The sequence below is a fragment of the Homo sapiens genome, chromosome 13, assembly GCF_000001405.40.
Source record: "Homo sapiens chromosome 13, GRCh38.p14 Primary Assembly".
Taxonomy (NCBI): domain Eukaryota; kingdom Metazoa; phylum Chordata; class Mammalia; order Primates; family Hominidae; genus Homo; species Homo sapiens.
Window position 1 is genome coordinate 48,579,932 of NC_000013.11, and position 21,113 is coordinate 48,601,044.

General features: G+C 43.8%; 3 long non-coding RNA genes across 5 annotated transcripts in view, besides 1 other annotated feature; 1 reads left to right on the forward strand and 2 right to left on the reverse strand.

The window, feature by feature from the left end:
* LINC00462 (long intergenic non-protein coding RNA 462) overlaps positions 1-970 on the reverse strand; it is a 3,928-nt gene extending 2,958 nt beyond the window's left edge. Inside the window, exon 1 of the long non-coding RNA NR_051983.1 lies at positions 910-970. This is a non-coding gene — a long non-coding RNA (long intergenic non-protein coding RNA 462). The remainder of the gene's footprint in view (positions 1-909) is intronic.
* The window catches only part of LINC01077 (long intergenic non-protein coding RNA 1077), a 23,001-nt gene extending 12,334 nt beyond the window's left edge, over positions 1-10,667 (reverse strand). For 2 of the 3 annotated variants that reach the window (NR_170268.1, NR_170269.1), the window contains exon 1: positions 10,555-10,667. This is a non-coding gene — a long non-coding RNA (long intergenic non-protein coding RNA 1077). The remainder of the gene's footprint in view (positions 1-10,554) is intronic. The other variant, NR_170270.1, reaches the window with a different exon arrangement.
* Positions 1,260-19,629, forward strand: LOC105370202 (uncharacterized). The gene is made up of 3 exons (XR_941958.4): positions 1,260-1,335; positions 1,815-2,061; positions 19,371-19,629. It is a non-coding gene; the product is annotated as an uncharacterized LOC105370202 (long non-coding RNA).
* Positions 6,702-6,996: a silencer, noted in NCBI's record as "tiled region #13035; HepG2 Repressive non-DNase unmatched - State 7:EnhWF". NCBI's record gives its function as "represses a minimal TATA promoter and a strong SV40 promoter by Sharpr-MPRA in HepG2 cells {active_cell/tissue: HepG2}" and the evidence as "EXISTENCE:reporter gene assay evidence [ECO:0000049][PMID:27701403]".
* Positions 19,630-21,113: the final 1,484 nt, after the last annotated feature.

The window sequence follows — 21,113 nt, forward strand, 5'->3', positions numbered from 1 at the left end:
GCTGTTTCTGCCCTGGAAAAATGTGCCTGACACAGAGGCCTTTTGTATTTCTGTTCTGGTCAAATAGCAACTCTCTCCTCGAGGCCATAAATGCTGAAGCTTAGACCTAGTATTTGATAGCACAACAGGGTAACTATAGTCAATAATAATTTAATTGTACATTTAAAAATAACTAAAAGAGTATAGTTGGATGGTTTGTAACACAAAGGATAAATGCTTGAGGGGATGGATACCCTACTTTCCATGATGTGATTATTATGCATTGCATGCCTGTACCCAAATATCTCATGTATCCCACAAATATATAGACCTACTATGTGCCCACAAAAATTAAAAATTAAGAATTAAAAAAAAAATGCCACAAGACAGGAGAGGTAAGTTAGCCTAGAAAGAGCTTGTTAAAAAAAAAAAAAAAATCCTTTCTTTACAGTCGAATAATATTTTAGCAATGCTGCCCTCTGCAGAGCAAAACTAGGATCGCAACTCTAGGTGGTTAAACGAACTTCCCAACACTGGTTAATTTGAAGAGAACTGGAAGATTCAATGGTCTTCCAGAGTTTTCTCACATACCCCCCTAAAATAATTGTGAATAATCATGTGCCTCCTTGCGTGTTTTTAAGTTGACATCTAAATTTGCCTTATCACCTTAATAGTTGCAAAGGATGTTCTTTCCCACACATTTTCTGAGCTTTAAATAGTTGCAGATTGAGCGTATCCAGTTTAGTTTATGAAAAACACCATCTGTATCACCTGGTGGGCAAAGCCAGCCCTCATTGTCAGACCAATCAGCTAACTTTGAATTGCTTTCTGACAGAAAAATAGTTTACTCGACTGTATTAATCACGCTGCTGATAAAGACTTATCCGAGACTGGGTAATTCTTAAAAAAAAGGAGGTTTAATGGACTCACAGTTCCATGTGGCTGGAGACGCCTCATAATCATGGTGGAAGATGAAGGAAGAGCAATGGGACGTCTTACATGGCAGCAGGCAAGAGAGAAAGAGAGCCAAACGAAAGGGGAAACCCCTATAAAAGCATCAAATGTTTGATGAAAAGACTTTGAAATTCATTGTTGAAAAGACTTATTCTGTTCAACATTGTTGAAAAGTTGTTTGAAAAGACTTATTCATTACCATGAGAACAGTATGTGGGAAACTGCCCCCATGACTCAATGATTTCCCACTGGCACCCTCCCACAACACGTGGGAATTATGGAAGCTGCAATTCAAGATGAGATTTGGGTGGAGACACAGCCAAACCATATCATTGACTGACTTAAATTCAACAGAACTGTGCTTTGGAGGACATCGTTGCGCTGCTGACTTCTAACACTGAGGTAGGTGACTAGATAGAGCTGGCGCAGGTGACCCAGGCATTGCTCCTTTAGGGGTGCCTTCTGAGAAAGCAAAAGGAGTTTTACTTTCATGGGACTCTCCTGTCTTAGCTCTAAATTTTCTTATTGTCCCATTGTTTGGTGCAAGTTCTTTTTTTTTTTTTGAGATGGAGTTTCGCTTTTGTTGCCCAGGCTGGAGTGCAATGACATGATGTTGGCTCACCGCAACCTCCGCCTCCCAGGTTCAAGTGATTCTCCTGCCTCAGCCTCCCGAGTAGCTGGGATTACGGGTATGTGCCACCATGCCTGGCTAATTTTGTGTTTTTAGTAGAGACTGGGTTTCTCCGTGTTGGTCAGGCTGGTCTCGAACTCCCGACCTCAGGTGATCTGCCCACCTTGGCCTCCCAAAGTGCTGGGATTACCAGGACGGTGTATTATAAGTTTCAGGATGGTAAAAGGTGTATGTCTTCTCTTGTAAACAGAGAGAAGGGAGATTGTGAAAGGTACAAGAGGCAGGGGAGCAGCCCACTGAGCTACCCCAGGAATTTCCCTGACAATCAGTTTTAAGGAGGACATGCAGAAGTTGAAGATGTGGAACACACATCCCATCTAAGGGGTGACATCCTTCAGTTTGTGGACAGCTGGTCTAATTCACTGGAGGAGGAACACAGCTCCCCTGGGGCCATGCTCTGGCCACAGAACAGTGTGCAAGAGGTCATTTATGTTCAGGTAGCTTTTCTTATCTCTCCACTCTTGCTCTGGTCTTTAACAGCTTTCCTTCAGGGGCACGTAGAGGGCATGGCTGTGATATGCCTGTGTCATGCTTTTTAAAGAGTAGTCCTCCTGGAAAATAACTCATCCTTCTCTAGGTCTGGAAGATGACTTTGGCCTCCAGGAGCTGTCTAGCAAAAGCTGAATGCCAGTTTACAGCAGCTGTCTGTTCATACAGACAGGTCAAGAGGTTTCCTGCCTGGTGGGTGGCTGGACAAAGTGCCCAGGGTGGACGAAGATAGTTACACCATAGGGCCTGAGTGAGCGGGAGACACTAAGATGATTCACTGTCTGCTGAGGAGCACCTTGAAAGTCAGACCAGGATATTTCAGGTCCTACACCACCTGACCACTGCCCGTTGATAGAACCTGCTTCCCCCTTTGAACCATATCTGACTTGCCTTGACTTTCACCTTTGTAAAAATGGGAATCTTTTTAAAGCTATAATACTATTTCCTGATTACTGCTTTCTCTTCACTCCTCTAACATTCTGTACCTTTTTTTTTTTTTTTTTTTTGAAACCGAGTCTCCCTCTGTTGCCCAGGCTGGAGTGCAGTGGCATGATCTCAGCTCATTGCAACCTCTGCCTCCTGGATTCAAGCTATTCTCCTGCCTCAGCCTCCCAAGTAACTTGCATTACAGGCTCATGCCACCACCTCGGCTGATTTTTTTGTATTTTTAGTAGAGATGGGGTTTCACCATGTTGGCTAGGCTCGACTTGAACTCCCGACCTCAAGCGATCCACTCACCTTAGCCTCCCAAAGTGCTGGGATTACAGCTGAGAGCCACCTCACCTAGCCAACATTCTGTACTTTTTAAGGGCATGTCTTGTGTTTTGCCTTGTGTTATAATTCTTTAACTACATGTCTCAAGGCCCTTTGAAGAGAGAGAGTCAATTCCATCTCTATACTTCCCAGCTGTCTAGCTCAATATCTGGTACAGGGCAGGTACTCAGAAATTGCTACCCTATTTCTTCAGATCAAAGCAGGCACTTCTTCTCTCCACACGTCTAAAGAACAACAGGTTGGGTTCTAAAACCTGATAGCTTCTTCTGGAGCTCCAGCAACAGGCATCCGTGAGCGTGAGGGAATTGTGATTGTGATCAGGGAATTTGTCATGGATTGATGACCAAGTGTGGAAAAACTCAAACTGTTTGTCCTCTGCTCTCATACCCGAAAAATTAGCACAGAAGACACCTGTGACCACATGTGTGGGATGTCTCCCCACCAGCAAGCAAGCAATCAATAAGTTCTGGAGGGGACACCAGCTGGGTATCCTCTGGCCCAGTTTGATTCCAATCTGTCTACGTGGAGATAATGTCAGATCCCACAGGCTGAGGGCTCAGTCCCCAAGATTGCCCCCATCTCTAACTTCTGATGCCAATTGCAAGCTCCAGGTTATTTTGCCAGTGTTTCTGACCTACTGGCTACAAATTGGGGTTCTCACAACGCTTTCCTTGGCTTCAATCAGTTTGCTAGAGCAGTTCAGAGAAATACAATTACTGGTTTATGATAAAGGACATTACAAAGGATACAGATGAAGAGACGCATAGGGCAAGATATGGGGGAAGAGTGTGAAACTTCCATGACCTCCCAGGAGCCTTCAGGAACCTCCATGAGTTTAGCTATCTGGAAGCTCTCATAACACTGTCCTTTTGAGTTTTTATAGAGGCTTTATCATGTGGGCATGATTGATAAAACCACTGGCTATTGGTGATCAACTTAAACTTTGGCCCCTCTCCCCTCTCTGGAGGTAGGGTTTGGGGCTGAAAGTCCCCATCTTTTAGTCCTGCCTTGGTCTTTCTGGTGACCAGCCCCCATACTGAAGCTATCTAGGGGCTGCTGGCCACCAGTCCAGTGGGTGGCACACAGAAGGACACATATCACTGAAGATTCCAAGAATTTTTGGAGTTGTATTTCAGGAAATGGGTAGGAAGATCAAACATACATTTTACAATATCACAATGGCATACCTTCAGATAGCATTTCGAAGGTGCTGCCTGGTGCTTAAAGGTCAGTAGACCCGAGTTCAGTGACGACCTTGGTGTGCTAGGCATCCAGGGGAAAACAGGAAGCCCAACCTTGTTCATGGATTTTTTTTCCCTTTCATAGGAGAGACTGTGCTCAAGATCCAGATTCATTTGTTGATTCTCATAGCTTTAAAAACATGCCAAGTGCCCACAGGTCTTTGGGAATCTTTCCAAATTTTATCAAAGACACAGATGCATAATAAAATAAACAGAAATTAAACTTTATCCTAACCTCCAAAGTATACAACTCCCAACTAAATGTGTAGCTTTGATTTAAATGATGGGTTATGTACCGTCACTTAATGGGGACAGGATAAGTGAGAAGTATTTTGGTGCAAAAGTAATTGCGGTTCTTGCCATTACTTTTAATGGAAAAAAACTGCAATTACTTTTCCATCAACCTAACAGGACAAGGGATGAAAAAGTTCTACCTAAAGTGTATCTAAATTGATAGGGACTAAGTTCATTTGGATAATCATAAATCTGCAAATAAATAGGAGGGTAGTTGGAGGGATTCTGCAGTGTGAGGGTTTTCCAAAGCAAACCAGCTGAGCTGGACCAAAGAACTGAGAAAACAGGGACTGTGTAAATTGTTTTATTACTCAATGCATAAAGAATTATGCCTCTGGAAAAGTGTGGTTTCATTCTGTACTATAAAGATGAAAGTCTTGGCTATCACGTGGGAAGGCAAGTTCTTGAATGGAAATATGTGCTAAGGTAGATGGCCCAACATGATGGTTTCTTGCCTGGGAGCTTCTTGTTCCTAGTGCTGCTGTTGCATAACTGAGTGACTTTGGCTGAAGATCTGTTCCTTTTCTTCTTTTTCCAGAGATAGGGTCTTGCTCTGTTGCCCAGGCTGGAGTGCAGTGGTACAGTCTTGGTTCACTGCAGCCTCTACCTCCTTGGCACAAGCAACTCTCCCAACTCAGTGTCCTGAGAAGTTGGGACTATAGGCGCTTGCCTCCACACAGGATAATTGTTTTTTTTTTTTTTGTGACCAAGTCTCACTCCATCATTCAGGCTGGAATGCAGTGATGCGATCTTGGCTCACTGCAACCTCCGTCTCCTGGGTTCCAGCAATTCTCATGCCTTAGCCTTCCAAGTAGCTGGGATTATAGGTCTGTGCCACCACGCCCAGCTAATTTTTGTAATTTTGAGTAGAGACAGAATTTCACCATGATGGCCAAGCTGGTCTCAAACTCCTAGCCTCAAGTGACCCACCCACGTTGGCCTCCCAAAGTGCTGGGATTACAGGCGTGAGCCACTGCGCCTGGCCAATCTGTTCATTTTTATACTTAAAAATTGAACATGGCCAAATGAGTCCAGATAGGAACACTTTGGATTGCTAATTCATTTTTTGAAATAGTTGCTCATTCTTTAGATGCTAAAATTTAGAGAATTCCTCCACTGCCTCTCACTCAACCTGCCATTTTCCATTGAGCACTTTCTCTGGGCTCTGCACACCTGGCACTTGAAAAAGCCTCTGGGTATTTGGCAGCCAGCATGTTCTCATGGAGACCAGTTCTACTCTGAGAGAGTTTTCCAATCTGGCTGTAAATTGGGGTTAGCGAGGGCAGCCTCTATCCTGCTAAGAAACAAAGCCAGCCTTTTATAGAGCCAAGAAGCTGGCTCTTTACCGCATGTTTTTTTCAACATCCTCTATAAAAAACCCTTTGTGGTGTTTATTGGATGACCTCTCACTGACCTTTCTCTTGTGTTCTAAATGCCATTCTCATGCCAAACTCCATAAGAGTTATTGTTTTCCATCTTTTTTTCTGCATTATTAGGGTTATCAGACTTAGCAAATAAAAATATAAGATGCTGAGTTAAATTTGAATTTCATATAAATAATGAATAATCTTTAATATATAAGACTTGGAACATACTTGGATTTAAAAATTATTAATTATTTATCTGAAATTGAAATATGACTGGGTGTCCTGTGTTTCACCTGGCAACTCTATACAGGGATTCAAATGTCCTAATTTTCATACCTTACTGAAATGTTTGTTTCATCTGTTTATCCCTCATCTCAGGAAATACTGCTACACAACCTTGAACTACTTCACACATCGAAAAAGAACACGTACTCTTTCTCTACCAAAAGTGAATTTATCAGTTACACATACAAGGTACACTTTTCCTTAATGACTGAGGTTTGTCTATTTTCTCTCTCTTTTTTTTTCTTTTGATGTTTGTAACTATTGCCTTTCAGCTTTCACCTTTTTATTTCCATCTCTGTCAGCACTTGCCTCACTTTCTTAAATTTAAAAAAACCAAAAATCCCTTTATTTCAACCATGGAACATGCAGGAAGACCAGCAGTTCTCAAATCCTTTGGTTATATGGGTTAGGGAATCCCATGAGTTCTGAATCTAGTGATAGAACAATCACATTGTACCTACTCTTTCAGTTACTAAGTAGTGCTTTTATGAATTAAAGATGATACTTAAATTTTGGGTTAAACTTTTGGAGGAAACCCCTTATTTTACTTTTGAAAATTAACATAGTTATCTGGGGGCGTGAAGGGGAGCACAGCAGCAACAACGGAAGCCTTCAGTGTTCACTTCTGGAGCCTCACGTCTTGACTGCTGCCACAACCAAGTTTTCCTGCCAAGTGCTTACACCCACAGAAAGGCTGTGGCCCCTCCTCGGAGTTGGGCTAACGTCCAGCCTCTGTCTACAGCAGTCTGTGTTGGAGCCTGCTGATGGGCTCCAGGTTATCTGGTCTAACAGGAGCTGATGCTATGCTCAGGGAAGCAACAGGGAATGAATGATAAAGAGGAAACAGAGCTGCCAGGATGAGTGATTGTCAAAGGTGGATGCTTTCCTGATTAGCTGCAGGGGAGACACGACAGGAAGGTCTAATCACAGGAGATCATTTGTACCATCAGAGGTTAGCATATTTGGGGTGAGGAAGGTAAGCATGTTTTGACTTTTTAGATGAAATGAGGTGCTAACAACTTGGCCACAAGGTTTAGAAACAATCACAGGAAACCAACTAGGAAGTGAAAATTGGTAGGTATTTTGAGCACTAACATAAAGGATGGAAGAAGCAGAGATACCCAGAAGTCCTGGAAGCAGGCTAGGCAGGATGAACATTTTAGAAACGCTTAAGAACAGGCTAATCTGAGGCCAGGCACAGTGGCTCACACCAGTAATCCCAGCACTTTGAGAGGCTGACGTGGGAGGATCTCTTGAGTCCAAACGTTCAAGACCAGCCTGGACAACATAGTGAGACCCCCATCCCTAAAAAACTAAAAAGTGAAAAATTAGCCAGGCATGGTGGTATGTGCCTGTAGTCCCAGCTACTTGGGAGGCTAAGGTGGGAGGATTGCTTGAGCCCGGAAGGCTGAGACTGCAGTGAGCCATAATTGTGCCACTCACTTGCCCTGAGTGACAAAACAAGACTTTTTCTTAAAAAAAAGAGAAAAAAGGCTGGGTGTGGTGGGATTACACCTGTAATCCCAGCACTTCAGGAGGCCAAGGCAGGTGGATCTCCTGAGGTCAGGAGTTCAAGACTAGCCTGGCCAACATGGTGAGACCCTGTCTCTACTAAAAATACAAAAAATTAGCCTGGCGCAGTGGTGGATGCCTGTAATCCCAGCTACACGGGAGGCTGAGGCAGGAGAATTGCTTGAACCCGGGAGGTGGAGGTTGCAGTGAACTGAGATCATGCCATTGCACTCCAGCCTAGGCAACAAGAGCAAAACTCCATCTCAAAAATAAAATAAAATAAAATAAAACTAAGAAAAAGAACAGGATATCTGTTACACAAATTACCCCAGATTGCTGAAACCACCTTTGCAAAAATTATAGCAGTGAGAAAATTATGACAGTCAAAGAGACCTTCTCTAACCAATTCCATCTTGCCTTTAACCTTCAAATTAACCTTGGTCATTCTGGAGCACGGGCCAAGCTAACTTTTGGATAAATTTAGTTTCTGGTTTAACCTTAAGGCAAGGATTATAATAGGCCTTCCCAAAACTAAACTACTTTTGTAAAACTAATGAAAGGTCACAAGGTTAGGAAGGTTAGGATTATTAGAGGGGCCTGAATTCTGCTAAGATGCAGGCATAGTTAAATGATTACCAGTCATTGTTCTGGAAGTTACAAGATTTGTAATTTCCTCCATTACTCCTGTAAGTAACATCACTATTGTAGAACCTAAAATTGGCCTTTCGAGATGTCTTTTCAGATTTTCATTTCTGACAACCAGATGACTCCACCTGGACCCATGTCCCTTACCCAGATGCTGACTCAGCGCATGAGGACTATTTTCTATGACCCTATGATTGCATCCCCAACAAATCAGCAGCACCCCTTCCCTAGCCCCCTGCCCACCAAACTATTGTTAAAAAACTGTAGCCTCTGGATTTTCAGGGAGGCTGGTTTGAGTAGTAATAAAACTCTGGTCTTCCATTTAGCTAACTCCTCTTTCTCTATTGCAATTCCCCTGTCTTGATAAATCAGCTGTATCTGGGCAGTGGGCAAGATGAGCCCATTGGGTGGTTACATTGCTTAGACACAAGAGAGAGGATGCCCCTGGCAGGATCAAGTCTGAACTACCCACTCCGACATTTGAAGTGCCCATCATCAGGCCCAAGCCACATCTCCCCAGTCTGTCCCTTAGCCTCTCTTACTTGCTGAGGGGTAGTGTCAGTCAGGAGAGGCAGGGGCATAGAATCTGACTTTTTGCTGGTGCCTCTTCTGTGACACCAGCCACCTTCTGTAGAACACACCCAGCCAGGCAGCCTGGCTTCTTTGTGTCACTAGGCCACTTGTGATGCTTTCCTTCCATCCCTCTATTTGGAAAGGCCCCTCCTTTCCAGTTCTCTCTGCGTAACCCCCACTTCACCCCATCTGGTCTGCTGGCACCCAAGCCTCTATTCTTGTCAGCTCCAGTGGGCAGATGGGTAAGTATGGAGGGGCACTTCCCCAATGAGCTTTGTAGTCATTTAACTTTAATAGGCTCATTGACCGATGCACACAGCAAGTCATTACACTGAGACACTGGGTTGCAGCTGAGAAAGAGGTTTAATCATAGGGTCACCGAAAGAGGAGATGGGAGGGAAACTCAAATTCATCTCCTGGCCAGGTGCAGTGGCTCACACCTGTAATCCCAGCACTTTGGGAGGCCTAGGTGGGCAGATCATGAGGTCAGGAGATCAAGACCATCCTGGCCAACATGGTGAAACCCCACCTACTAAAAATACAAAAATTAGCTAGGCATGGTGGTGCATGCCGGTAATCTCAGCTACTCAGGAGGCTGAGGCAGGAGAATTGCTTGAACCAAGGAGTCGGAGGTTGCAGTGAGCCGAGATTGCACCACTGCACTCCAGCCTGGCGACAGTGGGAGACTCCATCTCAAAACAAAACAAAAAAAAGTATGTCCCTGAGGAATTTGGGGTTAGAGTTTTTAAGGGTTTTGGAGGGGGTCAAAGGGTGGAGAGTGTTGATTGGTTGAAGAGTGCAGGGTGTAGTCACAGGACAGGGAGATGAAAGCAGTTGTGCTCTCATGCTCATCCTGTTTCTCTGTGGGGGCTTTCAAACTGGTTGCTGGAATTTAGGGGCTGAAAAACATCTTAAGCAATCCTTAAATAAAAGTCTAATGATTCTAATGTCAGGGATCCTATTTATAGTAACAATGTGGATGCAAATCCATTTTTAAATAGTCTTTTGACCTAACATCAGAAATCCTATCTCTATGAACAATGGGGATGCAAATAGTAAGGATCTAGTGACTTTTAGCAAAAAGGAATTGGGCCAAAGTGCGGCCTGATTAATGATTAATTATAACTATACTTCTGTCTGGAACCCAGCATGCCATTCTTGTCAACCCTGTGCAGATATTTTTTTCTGCACTTTTTCCCACTAGCATATCATTTAATCTTCCTGGGGTGACCATTGTGGGTAAGTTATACTTTAGACTAGGGATGGTGCATATTATTTCTCTGCAGTTGGTTTCTGCTTCCTGCAGTGTTCTGGGTCCAAATCTGGAGAGTGTCCTGTTATGAACTCCGTGTTTGTGTCCCAATCCCCGCCCTGCAAATTTATATATTGAAACCCAGGAGTTAATTAGTTCTTGAGGGTGGAGAGCTAATGATGGGATTTGTCCCCTTATAAGAAGAGACAGGAGAGAGCTTGCTTCCTCTCTCTGCCAGGTGAAGACACAAGAAAGCAGAAAGAATGCCCTCACCAAGAACCTGGCCATGCTGGTACCCTGATCTTGGACTTCCAGCTCCAGAAGTGAGAAAGAAATATTTGTTGTTTAACCCACCCAGGCTATGGTATTTTTATCACAGCAGCCTGAGCTAAGACACGCCCACACCCCACCCTACTTGTATTAGTCTGTTCTTAGACGCTATAAATATACTACTCAAGACTGGGTAATTTATAAAGGAAAGAGGTTTAATTGACTCACAGTTCTGCATGGCTAGGGAGTCCTCAGGAAACTTACAATCATGGCAGAAGGCAAAGGGTAAGCAAGCTTGGACCTTCCCACATGGCAGCAGGAGAGAGTGAGCATGTGTGAAGGAAGCAAAAGGGGAAGAGCCCCTTGTAAAACCATCAGATCTCGTGAGAACTCACTATCATGAGAACAGCATGGGAAAAACTGCCCCCATGATCCAATCACCTCCCACTGGGCCCTCCCTTGACACGTGGGGATTATGGGGATTACAAATCAAGATGTGATTTCAGTGGGGACACAGCCAAACCATATTGCCACTGTAGAGGTTCTCTGTCTCACCTCTTGCCCTCAGCTGGCGAGGTGGCCAGTGTGTGTGGTGATTCTTAGTCTGTGGGGGATGAGGGGCTGCTGAGGAATGAGTAAAGAAAGAAGAAGCAAAATCAGACTTTAGTGGCAGCTTGACTTGACCCTGGAATTCAGAGTACCATTCATTCCTCAGTGGGATGTTGCTTTGGGCAGCTGAATTTTGCTTAGGGACAAATGCCCTTTCCCTCCAGCCTGAGAGTCATGTCCCCTCAGTGCCTGGCCCGTGACACCTGTTTTGGCCTCTCTGTTGCCTCATGTTGGTAAATGTTGTTTCTATGTTTGCCTTTACCTATGAGTGTGTGTGCACACCTGTTTAGGTGACATGTCTGTGAGTCTGATGGCTTTGTCCTGGCCACCTGGCTGAGAGGTCACCATGTCTCCTTGGGCAGCTCCTCAGGGCTGGTGGCCCTCAAACTGCCTAAGACACACCCGAAGGAAAGTCCCTTGGAAAACTTTGTTTGGGAGTGTCAATGAAAAGGCCAAACTCCATAAAATATTTAAAGAGGTTTACTCTGAGCCAAAAAATGAGCAACCATAGCCTGAGGCACAGTCTCAAAGGTTTTGAAAACATGTGCCCAACGTGGTCAGGCTATAGCTTTGTAGCAGGACGAGCCGCAGACAAAACCTCTCAGACAGCGAGTTGTAGAAGGAAGGGCTTTATTCAGCTGGGAGCATCAGCAAGCTACTGCCTTAAAATCCGAGCTCCCCGAATGCACAATTTCTGTCCCTTTTAAGGGCTCACAACACTGAAGATTTCACATGAAAGGGTCATGATTGATTTGAGCAAGCAGGCTGTACGTGACAGGGGCTGCATGCACTGGTGGTCAGAGAGAAACAGAACAGGGCAGGGAGTTTCACAATGTTCTTCTATACAATGTCTGGAATCTGTGAATAACATCGGATTCTAAGTTATGAGTTGATTTTTAACTAGTGGGTTTAGGCCAGGCAGGCCTAGGCCTGGTTTCGGGCCTGGCACCGGGCTGCCTGCCTTTGGTTTTACTTCCTTGTTGTTTTTTCTTAAAACAGGTACGAGTATAAAACAATATAAAACAATGTGAGAGGGTCTCTCTCTTCCCTCAGCTTGGTGTCATACCTTTTAGGGAGACATAAAACATTAATCGATACATGTGTGGTATGCATTGGTTTGGTCTGGAAAGGCAGGACAACTTGGTGGGGAGAGTTTACAGGTCATAGGTGGATTCAAAGATTTTCTGACTGGCAGTTGGTTGAAAGAGTTAAGTTATTATCTAAAGACCTGAAATCAATAGAAAGGAGTGTCCGGGTTAAGATAAGAGGTTGTGGAGACCAAGGTTCTTATTATATAGGTGAAGTCTCATAGTTGAGACTTCTTAGAGACAATAGTTGGCAAATGTTTCTTATTTAGGCCTTTGAAAGGTGCTAGACTCTTAATCTTTTCAGGATCAGGAGGCCCTGGAAGGGGAAAGACTCTATGTTAACAGAGATTCTTTACAGATGCAAATTTACCCCCATAAAAGATGGCTATGCAGGACCATTTCAAAATATGGCAAAGAAACATATTTTGGAGTAAAATATTTTGATTTCCTTCTTTATCTGTCATGTGATGTTATACTAGAGTCAGGTTGGAATTTGATGTCTTATTGCTACAAGGTAGCAATAAGATCTCTCTTTTAATGTTAATGCGGGTCAATTGTGCCTGAATTCCAGAAAGGAATTCCAGAAAGGAGAAAGTATAAGGAGACACATCTGACACCCTGTCTTCCCCTCATAGCCTAAACTAGTTTTTCTGGTTTTCTTTCGGTCCCCCTGAATCCAGAGGGGTCCATTCAGTCTGTTGGGGAGCTTAGAATTTTATTTTTGGTTTACAGGGGCCATAGCATTTAAACTTCATTACTGTGTAAAGTTAAAGGACCAAGTGAAAAATAAGCTGCACTTTTTTCCACCTATTATCTCATTTAATCGTCCTGGGGTGACCACAGTGGGCAAGTATTACAATTTCCTCAGTTTTTTGCATAAAGAATCTGAGGCTCAGAAAGCTGAATAAGGAACTTAGGTCCTTTAATTCTAGCTTCTCTGCCCTTATCATTTCCCCCTTGGGGTTTTCCTGTGGCTGTAATTTAATTTCTTTTATGCAGTAGCTGAAAATAATTTATTTTTTATAATGCTTTTTTTGGTGGTAAAAGCAATCCATGCTCTTTGTTTAACAGAAATAGTACAGTTGACCCTTGAACAACACAGAGGTTAGGGGCACTAACCGCCACCCCCCCCTCACCATGCAGTTGAAAATCCATGTATCATTTTTGACTCCCCCAAAACTTAACTACTAATAGGCTACTGCTGACCAGAGTCCTTACTAATAACATAAACAGTTGATTAATGCATATATAGGGTGTTATATGCATTATAAACTGTAAGCTAGAGAAGAGAAAATGGTGTTAAGAAAATCATGAGGAAGAGAAAGTATATTCACTCTTCATTAAGTGAAGCTGGATCTTCATCTTTTTCTTCACGTTGAACAGGCTGAGGAAGAGGAGGGGGAGAAGGAGGGATTGGTCTTGCTGTCTCAAGGGTGGCAAAAGTGGAAGAGGTGGAGGAGGTGGAAGGAGAGGCAGGAGAGGCAGCACACTCAGTGTAACTTTTATTGAAAAAACCTGCATAAAAGTGCAATTCAAACCATGTTATTCAAGGGCCAGCCGTACAAACCTCCAGAAGAATATAAAGTGAAGAATGCCTGCACCTCCTTCTCCATCCTATTCCCCTAAGGTAATTACTCCAGGGACAGTTTGGGTCCCACCCCAATATTCATTGCATATGTTAATGTCCTGGTGAATTCTATCTTTTATCGAATTTCTGCATCAGGTCTGCCTGTTCTTCCCTCGATGGTTTCCTCACAGCCTCCCACAGTGTGTCGTAAGGAACCCAAAGGGTGTGATTGCTAGTGTCATGCTTGCTTGGTGTGTGTCCACTGCCTGGGGCCTGGCACTCTGCCTCAACCCACCTGAGGGCAGGCGTGCAACCCAGCCCTTCATGGATTGTTTTACTTTTCTTATTTACTTCAGGAAACATCTCTGTTCCTCTTGAGCATATTTTCTCTCTTTAATTATGGAGTGTTTTTGCCTGGGGAGTGGGTACAGAGGTGAGATAGGAAAAGTGGAAAGGAAGATCATCTTGTCGGGATAAGTGAATGAAGTCCTCCTGCAGAAAGATTTTCCGCAGGTGGTAGGTCGCGAGCTTCAGGGGGCCTGTTGTGAGATTTTGCCGCAGCCTGAATCATTATTTCAAACAAGGTGCAGCAGGGTTTAGCTTTCTGCTTTCCCTGAAGGATTTGTCAGGGTAGCTTAGTGTTTTGATTAATTAACTTAAAGCTGGGATTCTATATAAATGCAAATTGTCACCTTCCCCCACCCATTCAGTCCCTTTCAGGCACAGAAATGAGTAAGAGCTGGGGAAAATGAGGTGGAGTTGAAATTGCCAGCTGTCTGTGGCCTCATTTGAATTTTCAGGGGAAAGGGGACCCTGACTGTGCAAATGCAATACTCACAGTACAGCATTTGCAAAATGGACCAGCTGGAGCAGAGGCTTAGCCTTTGCCACCCAGGTCAGCAGCACAACACTAACAGGACAGGAACACAGGGATGCCACTAAGGAATATTTCAGATTTGAACATGCGATGGACTAAATGTGTCCCCCCAAAATTCATATGTTTAAATCCTAACCCCCAAGGTGATGGTATTTGGAGGTAGGGCCTTTGGGAGGTGATTAGGTGATGAGGGTGGAGTCCTCACAGATGGGATTAGCACCCTTATAAAAGAGACTCCAGAGAGCTCCCTCCCCGCTTCCTCCATGTGAGGGCACAGTGAGAAAACAGTCGTCTACGAACCGGGAAATGGTCTCTCAGCAGACACTGAATCAGCTGGCACCCTGATCTTAGACTTCCCAGCTCCAGAACCGTGGGAAATAAACTTCTGTTGTTTATAAACAAGCCAGTTTATGATATTTTTGTAATGAACTAAACAGAATGCACAGCCTGAAAGAACTAAAACAGAAGGGGGAAAATGTCACAAAAAGTCTGATCTTTGTAGAGGCAAAGGAAAGCACATTTATGGAATTGTTAAAGTGTCAGGCCTCTGAGCCCAAGCTAAGCCATCACATCCCCTGTGACCTGCACGTATATGCCCGGATGGCCTGAAGTAACTGAAGAATCACAAAAGAAGTGAAAATGGCCTGTTCCTGACTTAACTGATGACATTCCACCGCAAAAGAAATGAAAATGGCCGGTCCTTGCCTTAACTGATGACATTACCTTGTGAAATTCCTTCTCCTGGCTCATCCTGGCTCAAAAAGCTCCCTCACTGAGCACCTTGTGACCCCCACTCCTGCCCGCCAGAGAACAACCCTTCTTTGACTGTAATTTTCCTTTACCTACCCAAATCTTATAAAACGGCCCCACCCTTATCTCCCCTTCGCTGACTCTCTTTTCAGACTCAGACCGCCTGCACCCAGGTGAAATAAACAGCCTTGTTTCTCACACAAAGCCTGTTTGGTGGTCTCTTCACACGGATGCGAGTGAAAAAAAGCACATTAGATTTTGACTTCAAATTTATTAGTCACTGATGTTTAATTTCCATGCAAGGCAGAGTGTGGGTGTGGAAGGGAGGACTCGGAGGGTGACAGGGAGCAGGTGTACCACCCACCCCACACCCTACGGCCTCACCTCCTTGACAGGCAGGGAAGAGCCAGACTGAGTGGTTACACATTCCTGGGCTGCCATGAATGGCGTGGGTGAACTGAGACATGAAACCTAACCTCTGGGGCCACTGGATATCTGTGGACGTGAGAGTCACCTCACAGGAAAGCTGTGGACATTTGACAAGATGTTTTTGCAAGTTGCACCTGACAACTCCCTAACAAATACCAGCTGATGTAAGGATGACTTTGCCCCAGTAGGGTTTTATTATTTCTTTGCTTTTGATACTTTTCTACCAGGACCTGCAGAGGGTGGCAGAGTGCTTTGCTGATCTGTCCCTTCTTCCTGCCTCAGGTTCTCAGGGCCAATTTCCCCATTAGGTGGAGCAGGCACTGTGCCTAGAGCCCATGAGACTTTTAGGGACCCATGAAAGTGTTTTAATTACTTTCAAAATCAGAAGAAAAAATAGAATATTAATGAATACCTAATAATGAATCTAGACTATGTCAATTTTTAAACCAATACAGTTGTTTCAAATACAATTTTTAATTTTTTTTTTTTTAATGAAGAGGGAGCCACGGAGGCAAAAGTGCTGTCAGCCCAAGAATGTGATAATGCCACCCTGTAGGTTCTGGAACTCACCTCAGAGAGTGAGTTGGCAGCATGGGTTGCTGCTTGCTGTTGTTTGCTCAGGTAATGGAACAGGTGGAGCCTGAAAGGAGATTTGTGTAGTGAGTATGGTAAGCCATGCTGACTTCAGTGTGGGAGTGAAGAGGACCACGTCAGAGCATTTTTCAGAGAGCTGAAGGTTGCATCTTAAATCTAAAGTGGTTGCTTGTCGACACTAGCTATTTTTGATGAAAATTTCCTTATCATGCATTGCATACCCTAGCCTTCTTTGTTCATTTTTAACTTTTATCAAGAAAAGGTATGGATATATGTGTATACAAACATATACACATATATGTAAGCACAAATACACACGTATGTGTGTGTATACACTTGTGTGTGTGTTAGAAGCATTCGAACCAGAGTAACTCCATCTTGAATAGGAGTGGGTAAAATAAGGCTGAGATCTATTGGGCTGAATTCCCAGGAGGTTAGGCATTCTAAGTCACAGGATGAGGTAGGAGGTCGGCACAAGATACAGGTCATAAAGACCTAGCTGATAAAACAGGTTGCAGTAAAGAAGCCGGCCAAAACCCACCAAAACCAAGATGGTGATGAGAGTGACCCCTGGTCGTCCTCACTGCTAACCTCCCACCAGTGCCATGACAGTTACTAATGCCATGGCAACATCAGGCAGTTACCCTATATAGTCTAAAAAGAGGAGGCATGAATAATCCACCCCTTGTTTAACATGTCATCAGGAAATAACCATAAAAATGGGCAACCAGTAGCTGTCAGGGCTGCTCTGCCTACGGAGTAGCCTTTCCTTATTTCTTTATTTTCTTAATACACTTGCTTTCACTTTACTCTGTGGACTTGCCCCAAATTCTTTCTTGCTCAGGATCCAAGAACCCTCTATTGGGGTCTGGATCTGGATGCCTTTCCGTTAACATGTATATATATATTTGCCATATATATGTCAAATAGTAGTAAAAGACTTAAGACAAATGATGGGATTCAGGACATGTCCTGAATTCTCCTATGACTTTAGGAGACCAGAAACATGCCACCCCCAAATATGCCTCTTTAGCATGAGGATTATTTTGAGCTGATTATTTTGAGAAACTGCAGCAGAGGAGAATCTCTGAAAACAACAGTAGAAGTTACCCTTTTGTAAGGAAAGTTTATGTCTATAAAGGAGATCTCCATACATAAGGGTGTCTTCCTGTCTGCAACAGGAAGAGAAGAATGACTCTAAATCACTAGAAACTCTTATCAATGAAAAAGGCATGGATTTAAATCTGCATCGCAAACCTCACCCTGGTTTCAGGTGCTTTCCTGGCTGTCTCCTCGTAACTGGCCTTCTCCATACCCTTCCCTCTCTGTTTTAGCAAAGGATGGTTTTTAAGCTTGAAGTCAAAGCTACCTATTTGAGATCTGCTCTCAAGAATTATTCATTCCCTGGCTATCTCCCTTGTATACATGAGATATACATATTAATAAACTTGTTTTTTTTCTCTTATTAATTTCGGTACAGGGGTCTGTCCTAACAAAAAACTCAGAAAAGGTAGAGAAAAAATTATTTTCTCCTCCCCTACACACAAATAATGGTGGTTTCTTGCTTCACATTTCTGTCTTTCTGTCTCCTTATTCCTGTTCCTTGAAGGCAACCTCTTTTAACCTTCTAAACCCTTTCTATTTTTTTCTGGTATTTAACTCCATATTTCTAAGGAATATACACATATTGCTATTTCCCAACTTGTCAGTTCCAGACAGTAGCTATTGTTGTTCTATTATGGCAGATGAAGATTTAGCTGTCTTAACATTCTCCACCTTATTTCTCCTCCCTCCCCCAGCTACTAATATAGTTATATCACAATTTTTAAATTAAATTTGTATTTGTAACCACCCCATGAGTTCTTCTTGCCCACTACCCAGTTAGAGCCAATTTATTATGACAGGGGAATTGCAATAGGAAAAGTGTGTAGAGTGTTAATAAACTCTAAGGCATTATGCACATGTTAATTGGAATTTGCAGTGAATGGGTAGACCTGAGAGCTAGTGGCTCAGGAGGGCCCCACATTTTGGAGATGGAGTGCAAGGATAAAGGATACAGACAGCAAACAGGGAAATACTAGGTAGAAGAGGGTGGCTCCCTGGCAAAAGCCCCACCCTCAATCTTGGAAACCTTCAGTCCTACGTGGGAACAGGTATTCCTGTTTTCACACCCAAAAGTTGCCTTTTGGCCCACCACACCCACCTATCCTGTACCCTTATAAACCCTAACCCCAGGCTCCACAAGCAGACAAACAGAAGAGCAGAGAAGGAGAGAAGAGAAGGAGCTTCTTAATGTCAAGAGGAGCTAGGCTGGGGACAGTAGGAGAGGAGATTGGCCACTGCATGGCCAAACTCCAGGTGACGATCATCTTCCCATTCCATCCCCCTTCCAGCTCCCCATCCATCCCACTGAGAGCCACCTCCACCACTCAGTAAAACTCCCACGTTTGCCATCCTTTAAGTCCAGGCGTGACCTTATTTTTCCTGGACACTGGACAAGAGCTCGGAATACAGAAAACTGTCACACTGGCCCTCTGCCCTTGCAAAAAGGCAGAGGGTCCACTGAGCTGTTTAACACTTAAGCCATCCATGGACAGCAAGGGTGAAAGAGCGCACTGTAACACATGCCCACTTGGGCTTCGGGAGTCACAGGCACCCACCCCTAGATGCAACCATGGGGCCGGAGGCCAAAAGTGCTTGCCCCAGCTCCTACACCTGCCTGTCTGCATGTTCCTGCTCCCATAAGGGGTTTGAGAGCAAGATGGCCAAATGGATGAGCCACACCCATCACACGTCCTGCAAGGGGGGTCAGGGAACTCCCCCGTTTCATTTGTACTTCCAATTGCCTGCTCTTTCCACAACTCCCTCTGAATGTTTGTGTTGGGAATCAGAACATGAGAACCTCAAGTATAGCACTTTGGTATGCTGAATACTTTGCACTGAGGGAGATTGGAAGGGCCTCAGAAGCAAGATGTTCTTTCTGAGCTTCTCCCACTCTCCTTTCTCTTTCTTTCATTTCTTTCCCACAGCAGGTCATAGAAACTAGAACCCCTCTTTCCCAAAGCAAACCATAAACCTAAAAATGTCAGTCTCTGACCTTTCTTCTCCCCTTAAAACTCTCATTTGACAGGTGATCCTGCCTTATCCTGGAGAAAGAAATGTTATGCAAGAGGCCAAGAAGAAGCTAAACAAACAAGCCATGATGGATTCCCATCTCAGCTTATTACCATTGGGACATGTCCTTTTTGTCCAATCACATTTCTACATGGCAGTACAGTCTTCATCAAACCTAAGCATTAAAAAAAAAGTTTTCTCTGGGTCTTTGGGTCTTTTGTTTCGGAAGGCTCCTGTATTACATAAAACTTTGTTAAATAAATTTGTTATACTTTTTTCTTGTGAATCTGTCTTTCATCATAGGGGTGTTAGCTGGGGACCTTGCAATGAGTGAGGACAGGCATTACCGTTTCACCCCTACACTTGCTACAGACTATGGTTAGGCTACCAGGACACTCAGTTGCCCTTTGTGGAGGAAGCAAGGATGAATCAACATGTGTAGAATAGGACTCCCTCCAAGAAGTACAGATGTGCAGCTGGCAAGTCTTCAGCTCACCCCTTTCAAGCAGGGTGACCAGGATGCCAAGGTGTAGTCATGGGGAGGAGTGATCAGAAGGTAAGTACAACTGAGAAAATTACAACTGGCTAGCACTTTGTCTCAAGAAAGAATGTGCCAACCAGCAGATCTCCAGAGTGAAAGGGAGGTCAAAGAGCAAAATGTCAGTGTTTTCAATACCACCCAATGAAGAAGATGCCAGTCAGGAGTCGGGGGCATGGCCTTAACATCTGCTTGGCAGCTGCATTCTCTTAACAGAGTTGGTTGTATCACTTCATATAAGCTTTTCAATAGCAACAGGGCAATAAAACAAAATTTATTTGTCCTAACTTTGTGCTGATTAAAGAACTCTTCAAGTATTCATTCTTTCAACAAACACCCATTGAGAACCTAGTATGTGGCAGGCACTCTTTTAGGAGCCTGGGATATAGCAGTGAACAAGACAGGCAACGCCTGCCCTCATGGAGCCTATCTTCTACGAAAAAATAACTCTCTGTGTGATTATTCACTGTGCTAGGGGTTGGAGTGACATAATAAGGGCCCTATATGGACTCACAGTTAAAGGAGGTGGCTTCCCAAATTATATTATTTTTCCTTAGGGAGAGAATGGTTGAATTAGCCAGTTCAAATACTCAGTCCCTTTGGCATATTGTGAATTAATTAATAGCATGCTGGTATTTTGTGAATTTAGTTAGCTTGAGGCAGTTTCCAACACTCAACTATGAATGCACTGTAAAGATTGGGTTTCTAGACCCAAACAACTAGACTAGACCCTGGAAAGTGCTGACATCATGAAATTAATTTTCCTGAGACACACTACACCTGCATATCCTTCCAGAACTTCTCTATTGCATCCTTCTCTCTTTCTAACCTCAACAGAGATGTCATCAACAATCATACTACCTCTTGCAAAGTATTTGTGGGAATAGACAAGAGCGAGCCATTCACAAACTCATTCCTGAACTATTTCTTGAGACCTATTAAGGTGCCAGACACCATGTTCATGAGAATGCAGCAGCTGTCTCCCCACAGGAGCTCATAGTCTTCAGATGGGGGGTGGGGGTGGTAGAAAGCTCTGTTGTGGGATGGAGTTGAATTTCAGTCCTGGATGTGCTACTTAATGACATCATCTGTAATCAAGAAACGAGCCTAGCTGAACTCTTGGCTTCCTGGTTTAATATTTCTGTGTCAGGAAGGTATGTGGTGGGCCTCTTGGAAGAGTGACAAAGAGGGAAAACAATACATAGTTTAGCAGAGAAGGGG